Source organism: Homo sapiens, chromosome 6, assembly GCF_000001405.40.
Source record: "Homo sapiens chromosome 6, GRCh38.p14 Primary Assembly".
Taxonomy (NCBI): Eukaryota; Metazoa; Chordata; class Mammalia; order Primates; family Hominidae; genus Homo; species Homo sapiens.
In genome coordinates, this window is record NC_000006.12 from 93,171,514 (window position 1) to 93,187,642 (window position 16,129).

The window sequence follows — 16,129 nt, forward strand, 5'->3', positions numbered from 1 at the left end:
TGGAGGGTACATTATCTTGTGATGGTGACATTTAAGCAAGTTTCCACACTTGCCATGGCAGGGAAAAGAAATACAGATTCATACACCAGCAGTAAATACTTCCCACATGTGACACATATCACCAATGATCACACTGGCAATTTGTCATTGGTCAAAGAGCTGATCGCCACACCTAACTTCAAAGGAACAAGAAAGCACGATCTTTCCTAGTGGTCCAAAAGGGGTAGATAAACAAATATCAATGAATGATGGAAATTTCTGGCACAGGAATCCTGCTAGGACTCTCCCCGTGCCATTTGTTGTCCCAGTGCTCATTTTGCTGGGACTTATTCCCCAATCTCGCTGCTCTGTCACTCATTTACCATGTTGGGCTTGTCTGTGAAACATGCAGTAAGTGGACTACATGTGTGGGAGTCAGGCACCAGTTCTTTCTTCCCTAAGGCCACCCAGGTCCAGGTATCTCCGAGGTTCATATGAAATTTCAATAGACTTTAATAGAATTTCAGTCCCTGGAGGAGAAGGATACAAAGTCTCTTGATAGTCACCAACCAGGGTCTATGCTCTATTTTATGACTCACATTCTTCTTCCCCTTGCTAGTTGAAATCACACCTCCTTTTGGATAGAAACCAATGCTCTGATATTACAGTCTTCTGCATCATATGATTTATAGTTCAAACTTCGTATTCTAAGTCTTCCAGGATTTAGAATTTTATATTTTACGTTAGTGTTTTAGAGGAAACCAACAACTAAAAGGAAAACAGAACCTTTACTTTTTAAACCACCTGATCATTAAGATAGAAAGAATGAGAGAGCAGGAGGCATTGTGGCTCATGACTGTAATCCCAGCACTTTGGGAGCTGAGGTGGGCGGATCACTTGAGGTCAGAAGTTTGAGACCAGCCTGGCCAACATGGAGAAACCCCATCTCCACTAAAAATATAAAATTTAGCTGGGCATGGTGGCCCGCCCCTGTAATCCCAGCTACTTGGGAGGCTGAGGCAGGAGGCAGAGGTTGCAATGAGCAGAGATCATGCCACTGTACTTCAGCCTGGGCAACAGAGTGAGACTCTATCTCAAAAAAAAAAAAAAAAAAGAATGAGAGAAAATATTGCTTTCAGGACTATTGTCATATATATAAATGGAAATCCATTTATGTGTCTGCATTATGCTTCAATATAATGCTTTACAAAATCCATTTGGATATTTAACAATTTATTTTTCCAAGGTTCTGCTTGCTCTCCCTGGATGATAGTGCCTGTGGAAGACCTTCTGTGGGGAGAGAGACTACTCTGGACAATCTCTCAATATCTCAAAATTAAATAGATAGGTAAGGTATGTGGATAGATGATAGATAGATCTCTAAATAGAAATCAGAATGAAATTTAAATTTTGTATTCTTAAATACTCAAACAAAAGGATTTTATTTCCCCTGGTGTCTGCAGAACCTCCAGTTTGATGATTATTTCAGAGGCTACAAGAGTTTACAGAGTAATTAGAGGTTTACAGAATGTTCTCAAAAACTCAGGCCTAGGACATTTCAAAATCCACAGAAAGAAGTAAGAGACATTTCATTTTATTTTGTTTTATTTTGCTATTATGAGCTGAATTGTGTCGCCCAAACCCATATGTTGAAGTCCTAGCCCCCAATTCCTCAGAATGTAACTGTATTTTTAAGACAGGGGCTTTAAAGGGGTAATTAAGGTAAAATGTGGTCATATGTGTGAGCCTAATTCAATATTACTGACTTCCTAAAAAAGAAAAGGGATTAGAATAGAGACATACACAGAGAAAAGACCACGTGAGAACACCAGAAAGAGATGGCCACCTCCAAACTAAAGAGAGAAGCCCCAGAGTGGGGAAAAGCAAGAGAGATCAGATTGTTACTGTGTCTGTGTAGAAAGAAGTAGACATAAGAGACTCCATTTTGTTATGTACTAAGAAAAATTCTTCTGCCTTGAGATTCTGTTAATCTATAACCTTACCCCCAACCCCGTGCTCTCTGAAACATGTGCTGTGTCCACTCAGAGTTAAATGGATTAAGGGCGGTGCAAGATGTGCTTTGTTAAACAGATGCTTGAAGGCAGCATGCTCCTTAAGAGTCATCACCACTCCCTAATCTCAAGTACCCAGGGACACAAAAACTGCGGAAGGCCGCAGGGACCTCTGCCTAGGAAAGCCAGGTATTGTCCAAGGTTTCTCCCCATGTGATAGTCTGAAATATGGCCTCGGGAAGGGAAAGACCTGACTGTCCCCCAGCCCGACACCCGTAAGGGGTCTGTGCTGAGGAGGATTAGTAAAAGAGGAAGGAATGCCTCTTGCAGTTGAGACAAGAGGAAGGCATCTGTCTCCTGCCTGTCCCCGGGCAATGGAATGTCTCGGTATAAAACCCGATTGTATGCTCCATCTACTGAGATAGGGAAAAACCGCCTTAGGGCTGGAGGTGGGACCTGCGGGCAGCAATACTGCTTTGTAAAGCATTGAGATGTTTATGTGTATGCATATCTAAAAGCACAGCACTTAATCCTTTACATTGTCTATGATGCAAAGACCTTTGTTCACGTGTTTGTCTGCTGACCCTCTCCCCACAATTGTCTTGTGACCCTGACACATCCCCCTCTTGGAGAAACACCCACGAATGATCAATAAATACTAAGGGATCTCAGAGGCTGGCGGGATCCTCCATATGCTGAACGCTGGTTCCCCGGGTCCCCTTATTTCTTTCTCTATACTTTGTCTCTGTGTCTTTTTCTTTCCTAAGTCTCTCGTTCCACCTTATGAGAAACACCCACAGGTGTGGAGGGGCAACCCACCCCTACACCCCAGAAAAAAAAATCAACCTTGTCAATGCCTTGATCTTGGAATTCTAGTCTCTAGAATTGTGAGAAAATTAATTTTGGTTGTTTAGGTCACCGAATCCGTGATACTTTGTATGGCAGCTCTAACAGACTAATACATTTATTTTACCTATTTAGGAGCTAGAGATAAAAAGAAGAAGAAAGGAGAGTGTGGATTTATTTAATCATATGGAAAAGAAATAACACAAATGTGTAGAATGCATGAGTTTACACTAGTATGAATTTCTGCATTGTCTTAACACTGATTTCCTCAGAACCCCCCCAGATCTTTGAACTTGTGATGCACTGGTTCATCCATTTGCATTTGAGGTCAGAAATCATTTTGGAATCACCATGAAACAAATCTACTGGATCATAACTTGGTGTTAAGATGTAACATATAACAGTTAAATAAATAATGCTATATACATTTTACATATTTATGCTATTTGGACTGAGTTGATGAAAGTTCTATACATTCCCAAATTAATGTAGTTTCCACTCTAATTACATTTCCTCGGTGATTTCAGTCCCATTCTCTTCTCTCATACAACTTATTCAAGACTTATTCTCTCCTTCTCCTACAGTCCTTTACTTTTTCCCACATATCCTTCCTAACCCTCAATAGGAAAAAACTCTAAGAATATATTTTCTTTTCTTTTTTTTTGTCCTCCATTCCCCTGTCCATAATGACATGATTAGAACATTTTCAACCTCTCTTTATCCCCCTCATGCCCACCTCCATCTCCTAGGTTTTGCTGGAATAATTGAGTGATTATTTGAATTGTTTTAAAATAAGTCCCTTAGATTGTGAAATTCCTCATATCCTCACCTATTAAACTTACATATATTAAATGTCATTACTCACCACTGTTCTCTCTTCTTTCACCTTGTCTCTCTTATGATTAATTTGTCTTTTTATGGCCTTTCCTCAAGTATTCTCCTTAGGTAGTATGGTTGCATAGCAAACCATTCCAGTTTGTGTATGTCACTCTTTCTATATATTTTGTCTTTTTTCAAAAAAGGCATCAACCGGATAATAAACAAGAAAATTACGGACTGAATATAGGAGTTTTTGCATGTTGTTTGTTTTCCTGAGTGTATTAAATGATCTATTGTCTATTAGCTTCCGGGGTCAAAAAATAAAGCCTATACCAGTGTGATTATTTTTCCTTTGTGAGTAACTTGTTCTTCCAAGCTATAAACATAAACCTTTTTCTTTACCCTTGGAGTTCACACATTTTATAAGGATTTACTTGGTTGCATATATCTTCTTATTAAATCAGCCTGAAACTTAGTCAGCCCTTTTAATTTCTGGACCCAAATCTTTTCTCAATTCAGGAAAATTTATTTCTAGAAGTTGTTCAGTAATTACCTCTCTCCCATTTACTATTTTTTCCTCCTTTAAATCACCTTTTGGCTGTTCTTTTTCTTAGAGCTATTCTCACAGTTTCTTTTTTCTTCATGATTTCTCTTCCTCTTTCTTTTCTGTGCTTTTAAGTATTTCTTGTGCTTAATTCACTCAGTCATAAATTCTAATTTCAGTAGTAACTGTTTTCCCTTCTAAAACATCTATTTAATGTTAGTTCCAAAACCAGGAATGTGGGGTGTATGTGTGTGTGTGTGTGTGTGTGTATGTGTGTGTGTGATTTGAACATCTTTCAATATATTCTTTTTTCCTTCCTCCCTCCCTCTCTTCCTTCCTTATTTAAAAAAATTCAGTAGCTCATTTTTCCCTGGGCATGTATCCTGAATTGCAACCTGATCTTTTTCTTTCTCATTGCCATGGCCCCTTAAATGGGTAGTTATTTTCTTAAGCAGCACATGCAGCTGAGTTCTGGTGGCTGAAATTTATTTAGGACAGAGACTCTCTAGAGGATGAAAGTCAAAAGGGTTATCTCACTTCCTCTTCCTGTCTTGAATGGCAGGCTAACAGTCTCTTCTTGATATACCCAGAAAGGTCACTCTGTTTTCTATTTTTTCTGCAGTCTCCTAGTCTCAGAATCAGGGAAGACTCAGCGAATATCTAGTTCTATCCTGGTCTTCAGTGGGTCAAGTTGACTAGGGTTACTTAAAATAAGTGACTACATACCTTCTTTTGTGAAAGTTTATACATTCCCAAACACCAAGATCTTCCCAGGATTTGCCACTCATCTGCACATTCCTCTTCTTTTTTTTTTGATGGAGTCTCACTCTGTCGCCAGGCTGGAGTGCAGTGGTGCAATCTCAGCTCACTGCCACCTCTGTCTCCCAGGTTCAAGAGATTCTCCTGCCTCAGCCTCCCGAGTAGCTGGGACTACAGGCATGCGCCACCACGCCCAGCTAGTCACTCTTTAATTAACTGACTAGCCCACATAGGAAGAACCTAAGAATCAGGGATTTCATCCACCCCCAGTCATAGACACTTTAGTAGCTACCAGCCTCAGAAGCAACAAATAGCTTGTAATTGAGAAATTGGGGATGGAGGACGTAGTCTTTAGGTTGCTCCTTTTATCTTGTTGTTGTTTAACTTTTTTTCTTGTTTTTTCTTTTTTTTTGGTCTTTCGTATGCTCATAGAAGACCCCTTCTTTTCCCAGGACAAATCATGCCTAATATAAATTAGTCAGGGTGATATCCATCCTCTTACCAGTGTCTGGCTGAGGTTTGCAAATGTGGCTCCAGTCCTGAGGCAGGAAATCTGTTTAGTGGCTTCTGGAAAACATTTTTTTAGGAGTAAGACTGAAAGATTAGAGATTTGTCTTAGAGTGGTAGAGGAAAATGTGCTCTTGATAGGAATAATAATCTATATCCCATTACTTTACATGTCTTTTTGGCAAAAGACATAAAACGTATGAACTCATTTTACGTGTCTATTAATACTGGTGTTAGACTCTTATAGGATCTCACTTTAGAATAAGATCTAATGTGTAGACCATCAAATAGGCAGTAGACGAATAAATGAGTGAATGAGTGGGTGAGTGCTTTCCTATTGATCCCATGTAAATACCATGTTTAATTTCTATCAGTCTGAAAATATTGTTTGGCAGAATGTAAAAGGGAACCTTTTTTTAATAGTGCTTTTTCCTTTGGGATCTGTTTAGGCTTCCTCCATATTGACAATTGACTAAAAATCATTTGCAAACTTAAAACCAAAGTAAAACAGCAGGTTAAGTGCAATGGTGTTTCTTTTTCCTGTCTGTAGGTTTATTTAGTTATATTCCAGCCAGCACTTGCAGGCACAGCTAACAACGCTGCACAGCAGGAACCATGCACTTGCTGCCTGAATTATCACAGAGACAAGGGGAGGCAGCTCTGTTTTGCAATGCTTCCTCATTTGCTGTAAAGATCAAAAAGAAGCATGCAGCAATATCACACATTAAAGGCACAAAAAATGAGTAATTACGAGCTTTTGGCTTTCTATTGTCTTTGAGAATATGCACCTAAGATACTGAATATATAAAATATGGTGACTCGGTTAGCTATTCTTCACTCAGTTCAGTAAGGGGCAAGTGCTCATTACAACATCCCGTCTCCTCCAAAATGTACTAGGTATGCTGTACAAAGATTTTACTATGTGCTTCTTTCCAAACTATTACACAACCTTGTCAGGTTTGTTTGTTTGTTTGTTTTCACATGTTCTCTTTGCTCTCTATCTCAAGGAATTTCATCTTTTCAGTGCACTGCCACAAACTTTTGGAGCACAAAAGCATGTAGAACAAGCACATTCAACCTGATCTCAGGCAGGCCCTCACTACCAACACCACACTGTCCTCCTGACATCACCTTCCCTGGGCTCCCTCAAAAACAGGTCTAAATACCTGCTTACAAATCATCAACAACACAGGGCCCACTACAGAGCGATTTACACAACACGCAACAGTCTGTTTCTTATTTCATTAGAGGTAAATAGGAGTTAGTTTCACTTTCCCAGCCAATCTGTAGTCACTCAATCAGTTACCAATATTTCATATTTAGCTGTGTAGCCTGTGGTTCAACTTTAAGTTATAGTGAATTATAGGACTTGAACATTGGGCTGGGGATTTGCCTTAAGTAGAGACAAGAATAGGCAAAGCTCAGGTGTGTGTGAGCAGTTTAAAAGCCTAGAAGATGTTTTAAACTGTGTGACTTCTCTTCTCCCTTGCACATCACTTACAAGAAAGACATTTTGATTTAGAGGAAAAGACTTAGAAGTAGTAACTAGGAAAAGGAGATCCAATTCTATATTGGCCACTTGTGTGAGTATGTTTAACTTACTTAAAGGTTCTGGGCCTCCCTTTCTTTCATTGTAGAATGAGGGTATCAGATATCTAAAGTCCCTTTCAGCTACAACCTTCGATCAAAGTAGCTGCGTCTTTTTGTCTCCATTTCTCCCAGGTTGTGTCTTGAGTTTTGGTATCTTCTTTTGGTCCTTTCCTTTACTCAAGGTTGCTCTTTAACTTGGAATCTCCTGAACATAAATGTGAGAGAGATTGGGAAAGAGAAATAGAATCTCCAGAGAAACAGCCCTGTCTCCACACCAAACATTAATGTAAGATACAAAGAAATGTCTTTGCCTTTGTGATTTCCCTATTAAAAAATAGGACAAAACACACACACACACACACACGTGCACACACACACACACACACAAAGGCTTTCAATTTTGCTCTAGATTATTCTAATATTTTTCACAGATTTAGAGAGACCAGCAATATTTATAAGAGGTTTGGACTTTTTTCCTCTGAAAAAATCTAATAAAATACCCAAAGCCAATTTTATTTTTTCCCAGCAGCCTTTTATAAAACAGGGTCAGCACCTCACATGAGTACACATGCATAAACCAGGAAACAAACCACAAGTTTACACAGATATCTGGTGATTTCCATGCTTTCCTGAGTTATTTGTTTAACTCAAATCACAACATGCAGTCATTTGGCTTTGTTTGACTTTATAATTATTGCAAATCTAAGAACTGGGTGCAAACACTTATGACAAAAATCCTCATTTTCTGTGGCTAATGTCAAAAGTTCTGTCCCCATTTCTCTGTCTAAATATACTTTTAAAGGTCTCTACCCAAATAGTTACATAGTTTCTGCATAACATAGACAACACTATCTTAAACTGCCAAAAGTATCTATGAAGAAATACTAAGTAAGTATCCAATCCAAATTCTCTAATATTATCTCTAGTGCCTGTGGTAGTTGCTTTAAATTGTGCAGATGACCCAAAGAGTTATGTACACTAAACAGTTCAACAGTGACTTGTCAAACTGCCTGGCTATGGACTCACTTGGCCTATCAAAGAAATAAAATTTTATGCTTTTTATTGCTGTCTCTGTCAGATTCCTCTTACAAACACACATCATTCTTGAGCACAACCTCTCAGAGTGTCTTGTGCACACCACTTTTGAGCAGCTGTACCCTGATCTTCACCTATGATCTCTCTATCTTAATAAATCCCCAAATATACATTGATAGCCTAGGACTATGGACCCACAACTATTCTAAGTGCAACGAATATATTTAAAAAATAAGATGCATTCCCATGCTGTAGGAAATCAGAATCTATTTGGGAAGAAAAAATTCACATATATGAAACAATTAAAGAGTGATAGTTAAAATAATATATAGCCAATCCTCAATTATGTAGTTCAAACAGTAAATGTGTTGAGAATTAAGAAATGTGAGAGATCAATAAAGAGCTTTCAATAATCTTTTCATTGATCCTAAGGGATCCAAACTTGAGGTAGAGAAAAATTTCAATCTAGGTAGTTTTGTGTATTATTTAATGGTAAATAACTGTCTGACTTATTCATCTAGGTCATGTGAAATAGAATATTCAAATTCCATGCTTTTCCTTTACAGACCAGCTTCTCTTTTCTTTTCCTCTTCGCTTCTTCTCTTCCTCCCTTTCTCCTTCTCTTTCAGCTGACAGAAATTTGTCTAAGAATAGCTTAGTAATTTTGCTAGGTTGGATAATAACGGTAGCACATCCTTCCAGAAAAATAATTTTAAAACCTTAAATGCTTAACTTTTCTCATATTCAGATCACGTTTTACTTCATATACTTAAGGCTTTACTATTGCATAAAGAACAAGTTTCATAGCAAAAGCATTTTGAGGCATCTGTACCATGAGGTCCATATGTGAAATGTTAACGAAGCAAGGCAGTTTGAAAAGCCACATCTCTGGGAAATAGAAGGGCAGAGGAAAAGGTATCAGAGAGGGGAAAATAAAACAGCTTTAGATAAAAGATGAAGAGAGAGAAGATGGTGATTGAGAGCAAAGGTAGTACAAGAAAGCAATCTTTTACAAACAAATAAAAAACTAAGGATAACCTCCCAAATTGCACAACTTGGGATTGTGTAACTCCTTTAAGCTTAATTTATTTTATTCTGTTTGTTTCCCATTCTTATAAAAAATAATCATCATTATCAGCAAGAAGGCAGATTATTCTGTTTTCATTTGTTTATTTCACATTTTGTTTGTGTTTTGTTTTGGTTTTATGCTGAATGAAGGGAATGATATCCACTAGGACTCTGGCATAGAGCAGTTGGTTAAGAGCTGTGGTACATAAAATTACTAAAAGTGTTTTCAATGTTAGAGAATAATTGAATGGAGATGAATATACATATGCATACACTCCTTAATGCCTTAATGTCAGTTAATTTCAAACACTTGCATATCAAAGCCAAATAAAGTGGCAGATATTTTTATTTCTTTTTTTTATTATACTTTAAGTTTTAGGGTACATGTACACAACATACAGGTTAGTTATATATGTATACATGTGCCATGTTGGTGTGCTGCACCCATTAACTCATCATTTAACATGAGGTGTATCTCCTAATGCTCTCCCTCCCCACTCCCCCCACCCCACAACAGGCCCCTGTGTGTGATGTTCCCCTTCCTGTGTCCATGTGTTCTCATTGTTCAGTTCCCACCCATGAGTGAGAACATGCGGTGTTTGGTTTTTTATCCTTGCGATAGTTTGCTCAGAATGATGGTTTCCAGCTTCATCCATGTCCCTAAAAAGGACATGAACTCATCATTTTTTATGGCTGCATAGTATTCCATGGTGCATATGTGCCACATTTTCTTAATCCAGTCTATCGTTGTTGGACATTTGGGTTGGTTCCAAGTCTTTGCTAGTGTGAATAGTGCCACAATAAACATACATGTGCATGTGTCTTTATAGCAGCATGATTTATAATCCTTTGGGTATATACCTAGTAATGGGATGGCTGGGTCAAATGGTATTTCTAGTTCTAGATCCCTGAGGAATCGCCACACTGACTTCCACAATGGTTGAACTAGTTTACAGTCCCACCAACAGTGTAAAAGTGTTCCTATTTCTCCACATCCTCTCCAGCACCTGTTGTTTCCTGACTTTTTAATGATCACCATTCTAAGTGGTGTGAGATGGTATCTCATTGTGGTTTTGATTTGCATTTCTCTGATGGCCAGTGATGATGAGCATTTTTTCATGTGTCTTTTGGCTGCATAAATGTCTTCTTTTAAGAAGTGTCTGTTCATATCCTTTGCCCACTTTTTGATGGGTTGTTTGTTTTTTTCTTGTAAATTTGTTTGAGTTTATTGTAGATACTGGATATTAGCCCTTTGTCAGATGAGTAGATTGCAAAAATTTTCTCCCATTCTAAAGTCAAATACTGACTTTCTGTTGACACCACAATTACTTGTGCCATAAAGTGATGAGTGCTTTTGCCCTTCCCTCTCTTTGAAAGTTTCATTCCAGGTATAGAGAAGCAAAAAATCTGAGAACTCTGCTTAATTATTTCTGTGTATTTACATTGAGTAATGAGTCATATTACCTTATGCCTGGAAACAGTAAAACCAGGTAAAATTTCATAGTGGGAGTCTATTAGCACCTGAGAAATTTGAAATGGATATTCAAAACATGCTGTTAAAGAAAATAATAAAAATAAAACAAAATAAAAAATAAAAGCAGACTTGCTCTTTCAAAAGGAATGTGCCTACTGATAAATATAAAACAAACAATGAGGTATATCAGGTGGTCAGTGATTTAATATTTACCTTCACAATATCTGCTAATATATTAAATCTCACCTAAAATTCAGTTTTAAGTAGCTCTTGGAACGGCTTGTATCTAGTAATCAATATGTATTTTTAATTATGTTGCCTTAGAAGAAAAAGTTAAGAAGGTTTTCTAAATACATGTTTAAAATACAGAAACTAGTCTTTGAAGAGAAGAAGCTTTCATGTATGTCGGAAGAAGTCTTATGAGCATTTCATTTGCAAGTTAAAATACAGATACCTATCTTACATTTCTATAGAAGAATCAAGGAGCCATCTGGGAAGCCACCTACATAAATGCTTTACACTGAAATATACCAAGAAAAAAAAGAATTGCAGAAGTTATAATGTTAGATATTTTTCTTTTCCATCATTTCTGCCATCAGCATCTGCTTAGGGAGAAAGCCTTTAACTAGGATTAAAAATATCAAATGTTCTATTAGGTGACACTAAGTGTAATGGAATCTCAAGGTTGAATTAATTTTGTAACTTCCTTTATCACTTTGAAGATTACTATCTCAATAACTGGCATCAATAGTCAACACAAGAAGACTTGAATAATTGGTGATCAATCACGACAATTGGGTGACCTCATCCTTTCCAAGCCTTGGAAACGTAGAGATCTTATTGAGAAAAAATAAATTGGAAAACACAGCTAGGTATGACTTTAATTTGCCTGTTTAAAAGTACAGTCCAACCTTGCATTTCAAATTTTCATTATACTATGCTAATAAGCACATGAGAATTTTATGGGCTTGATAGTTACTCATTTAGGAATGTTTGATATCACCGGAAAGTAATACATTTAACTACTAGTCAAATAACCTCATAAAATTCTCAGAGATAAGATTTCATAAAACTTGGACAGCAATAAGGGATGAAAAAAATTATCTTAATGACTTTCCAAGACAGGCATCATATTTCCATGTGAAAGCTTCACATAGAAGATACTTTATATCAAAGAATCTAAATTAGGATGAGTGCATCTTGGAGCAGGAGCCCACCACTGAGGGGGACTTCAACAAATTCTCTTCTCAAGACCAGCCCTCTATGAAAATAAAAATATTTACACATCTATTTAGTCAGTGACAAACAGAGAGGAAACCATCTGGCCATTTGAATCAGTGTAAATTGCCCAACCACTCTTGTGAAAAGAGAAAGCTAGTCAAATTAAATGCTTATTTTGTTTTGGAGCTAAACAATTGTCCTAAACTGTAATCATAAAATCCACATTTGCAGTATCAAATAAACAAAAGCAAATCAGTGAAGAAAACTTGTTTTTGTGTAGTAATTGGCAGGAGGATTAGCATTTCAGTGGATCCGATTTCCTAAACCTCATCATTCCTGATAACAGCTTCAGCGGTGAGGTGACACACCAAAAAGCATAAATTATCTAAAGCTGGAGATAAGCAGAGGCCATTTGGGGGTTCTGAGTGCAATATAAATAGATGCAAAACAGTAGGAGAACCAGCCCATTCAAAATCTCCGAAGGATTAGCTATGTGAGCTCTAACTTCTTTGCTGTTGTTAGCTGTGATTTATCATCAGACAGTAAGGAAGACTCAGCCTTATCTGTGATAATTCAATGGATTAATGGCAGTACCTTTATCTGGAGGTCATAATTAAGCTTGTTTGATCAGGCTGAGAACAAGCACCTATGCTGTGCTTTAGCCCTAACTATTGCTTTTGGTGTCAGGGTTATAACATAACAAGAACATCATTGGAAATGGCATTAGTAATTTTGTTCAAGCAAGTTATTACTTATCTATAAAACAGAATCCCCTAGATGGTAGGAGAACAATATGTTCCAAATTTAGAAACTTATGTATAATATTGAGTTTACGAATACTAGGTAGCTCAGGTGCTTGGACCTTCAACCAATTTGAATATAAAACTGAAAATAAAGAAATACTGTAACATTATTTTCTGCTAATAAAAATGAATGATAGTAAAAGGAAAATAAACATTTATTTTACCCTACGATTGAAACATCTTAACTAATGCCAGTATTTCTTCAAAAGTAGTAAAAATTATAGGCACTGATTGAAATAGATATAATAAATCCTCCTTAATCTGGAATTACTGGATGGAAATATTACTTAATATTAGGGAATATCTACTATTAAATATTTTTAATGAATTACATTTCATTACTTTAAAATCTCAACATCATTTGAACTGGTTATTATATATTTCTATAAGGAGGTCAGGTATAAATGTATCAAAATTTGTTTGGATTTAGCAGTACCATATGATAGTAAATAAGGAGTAATGTCACAACACACAGGAGAGATTCTTCTTCAAGTTTTAAAGATATCACCTACGGTTATTTTACACACAATGCTCCTTTCTTAAAAATGTGCACAGGTCAAATTTATCTAGGCTAAATATAATTAGCTACAAATTCTAAATTAAATTATTTTAAATTGATGATGTCTTTCAATATTTGATTTCACATTTTTGTCACTGCTGATTATTTTATGATATTAAATAAAAAACTTCTTTATAAAGTATTTTCACATAAAACTGATTTGTTTTGACAGGTACCTGGTCCTAACTCTCTTTATATGTAATATGAACTTATAAAAAATTTCTCTCCTGCCAATGTTTAACAAGCTTCTATATACCCACACACCCATGGCAAAGTCAGATGCTCTGAGTTCAAATCACAGTTCTCTCACAGTATGTAATCTTGGGCAAATTATTTAATCGCTGTAAAGTTTCTATTTCCTCTTCTGTAAAAGAAAGGTAATTGGAACATCTGATGGAAGTGTTCTGTGGCTTCAGTAAGAAAATTCAGGTGGGTATTTTGCACAATGCCTAGCACATCATAATTCACAATGAATGATAATTCTTAAATTAGTCCCCCTTCTCCTTCTCATATCCACCTAGCCAAGAACACGTGACTAATTTCTTTAAAAATAAGACAATAAGAACTTAGGAAAACTAGATGTTAAGACTGAGCACATAGATGAGATAGTCAAGACGATAGTCAAAAGTAACAAATCAACTATACTATCTATTCTACTGCTTAGTAACCTATTTCAAGCGCTTGAGGAGTTTTCCTTTGATGGTCACAGATATCCTATTTTTCCTGTCAATAATTATTTTTATAACCTTCTAGAGTAAATTATGTATATGAAATTTATATGTGCAGGATATGTTAATATACATGCATACATGTGGATAGAATTTAGCCTACTTTTTTAAACTAAATTTTATAGGGAATTGTCCATGTTCTTAATGCAAAAGTTATTATTTATTATATATAATAGTTATATACACACATATATGTATGTGTGTATGTATGTTGTAGATATAAATCAGAGAAGTTGTTGGAATGATGTTATATGATTATTTGCTTTGAAAACTCCATTTTTGCCAGACTCCAAGTAAGAGTTCCAGTGTATAGTATCAGAGGGTTTAGTTATCTTTGTTCTTAGTAAAAAACTTAAGTGTCATAAATGTATGCCTTTTTTATGTACTCATTGTCAAACCTTGGGTACTGTACAAGACTGTGCTCCAGTGTTCCAAAGGTTCTAAAGAACCAAATAATCGCCTTCAGGAAGAGGCCTGATCTCTGAAGCAGGAGCCCAGTTGCCATTGACTGAATGCTTGTGTTTCCCCAAAATTTATATGTTGAAACCTAATCCCCAATGCAATTGTATTAGGAGATGGGCCTTGGGGAGACGAATAGGTCATGAGGGCTCCACTCTCATGAATGGGATTAATACCTACATAAAAGTGGCCCAAGGGAGCTTATTTGACCCTTCAGCTCTGTGAGGACACATGGAAGGCGTCATCCATGCAGCAGAGAGTCCTCTCCAGACACCCAATCTGGCAATTTGATCTTGGACTATTCAGGCTTTAGAACTGTGGGAAATAAATTTCTGCTTTTTATAAGCCACCCTACAGTTTTCTGTTATACCAACCCAAATGGACTGACAGCAGTGTCATCCACAAAGATAGAGAAAAATCCCCAATCTTTTCCAAGATCAGAAGTATTTTGTTAAGCATACTCTGATCAGTGTGATATTTCTATTTTCCATGTCACTCCTTAATTATTGACCACGACAATCATATAGAAACAAGAGTTGAGAATACACAGCCACCTTCTGGGTTATGCCTCTTTTTTTTGTCCCCCAAGACAGAGGCTGAGTCAGGAATTTTTGAAAACAAAAGGAAGCAGGAAAGAGGTGAAAGGGAGATTCAGCTTGGACTGTAATCAGTGTGTCAAGTATCACATTTATAAGTATAATTTTAAGGTCATCTCTTCTAACTGTCGGTCTAATAACCTGAATTTGGCTCTGCAAACCCTACCAAGTTACTATGCAACATGTTCTTGAACACTTCCAGTGATGTGCAGCTTTCAATCAAGCAAAGAAAGTCTTTCTTTCTTTGGACACTATTGCTAAAAATTTTTCCAATTTTTTTCTGCAACTTCCACTTATTAGTAGTGGTGTTCCTATAGGATTCACAATTTAATATTCTATCTAACATTCCTTTGAAAATTTGAAATTATATAGCATATCACACATGATATTTCTTTGATCAAGCCTAAATCATAAGCACAGTTTTGAAAGTCCATACCAAGTAAATCAGAATGCTGGGGAGCCAGACATTGGGATAAGTTAAAGATCTGCAGGTGATTCCCATGTGCAGAAATGATTGAGAATCAGTGCCTAATAGTCTTGCCAACACAAAATAGCATCAGATTTTATTATTTTTGCTAATCTGATAGGTGAAAAATGATATTCCATTGGCTTTTTAAAATTAAGATGTCTAATTTAATATTAATTTTAAATTAATATTGTTAAATAATCTTAGATAAATTATTAAAAATTAGTTTTAATTTTTAAAAATTTTCATGTTTATTGTCATTCTAATATTGTCTTCTGTGATTGCTTGTTCATTTAATTTCCCCATATTTTTGGCTTACTTTTAAAAAATTTATTGGAAATTCTACATTTTATTGATGTTGATTCTTTGTATTATTTATATTACTAACATTTTCTAGTTGTTAATTTAAAATTTTTATTTTAAATGAACTGCTTTGTTTGTTACTGTAAAATAAATTCAAATTTTTTTTATTGCTTATGCTCTCATGGCTTGTTTTAAAAATCCTTCCCTATTTCTAAAGAAAATTCACTTCTTCATGGTGTTGTTGGCCAATTTATGAGCATAATATGATTCTCCATTTATCCAGCTCTTATATCGTGTCCTTTAATAGAATGTTAAATTAGTTCTCAAACATTCATTGCACTTTGTCTGTTATATTATCTTT

The 16,129-nt window shown here is 36.2% G+C and overlaps 1 annotated feature.

Moving 5' to 3' along the window:
* Window positions 450–1,261: an enhancer, noted in NCBI's record as "H3K27ac hESC enhancer chr6:93881681-93882492 (GRCh37/hg19 assembly coordinates)". NCBI's record gives its function as "activates a minimal SCP1, AML or CMV promoter by ChIP-STARR-seq in naive H9 embryonic stem cells {active_cell/tissue: H9 hESC(naive)}" and the evidence as "EXISTENCE:reporter gene assay evidence [ECO:0000049][PMID:30033119]".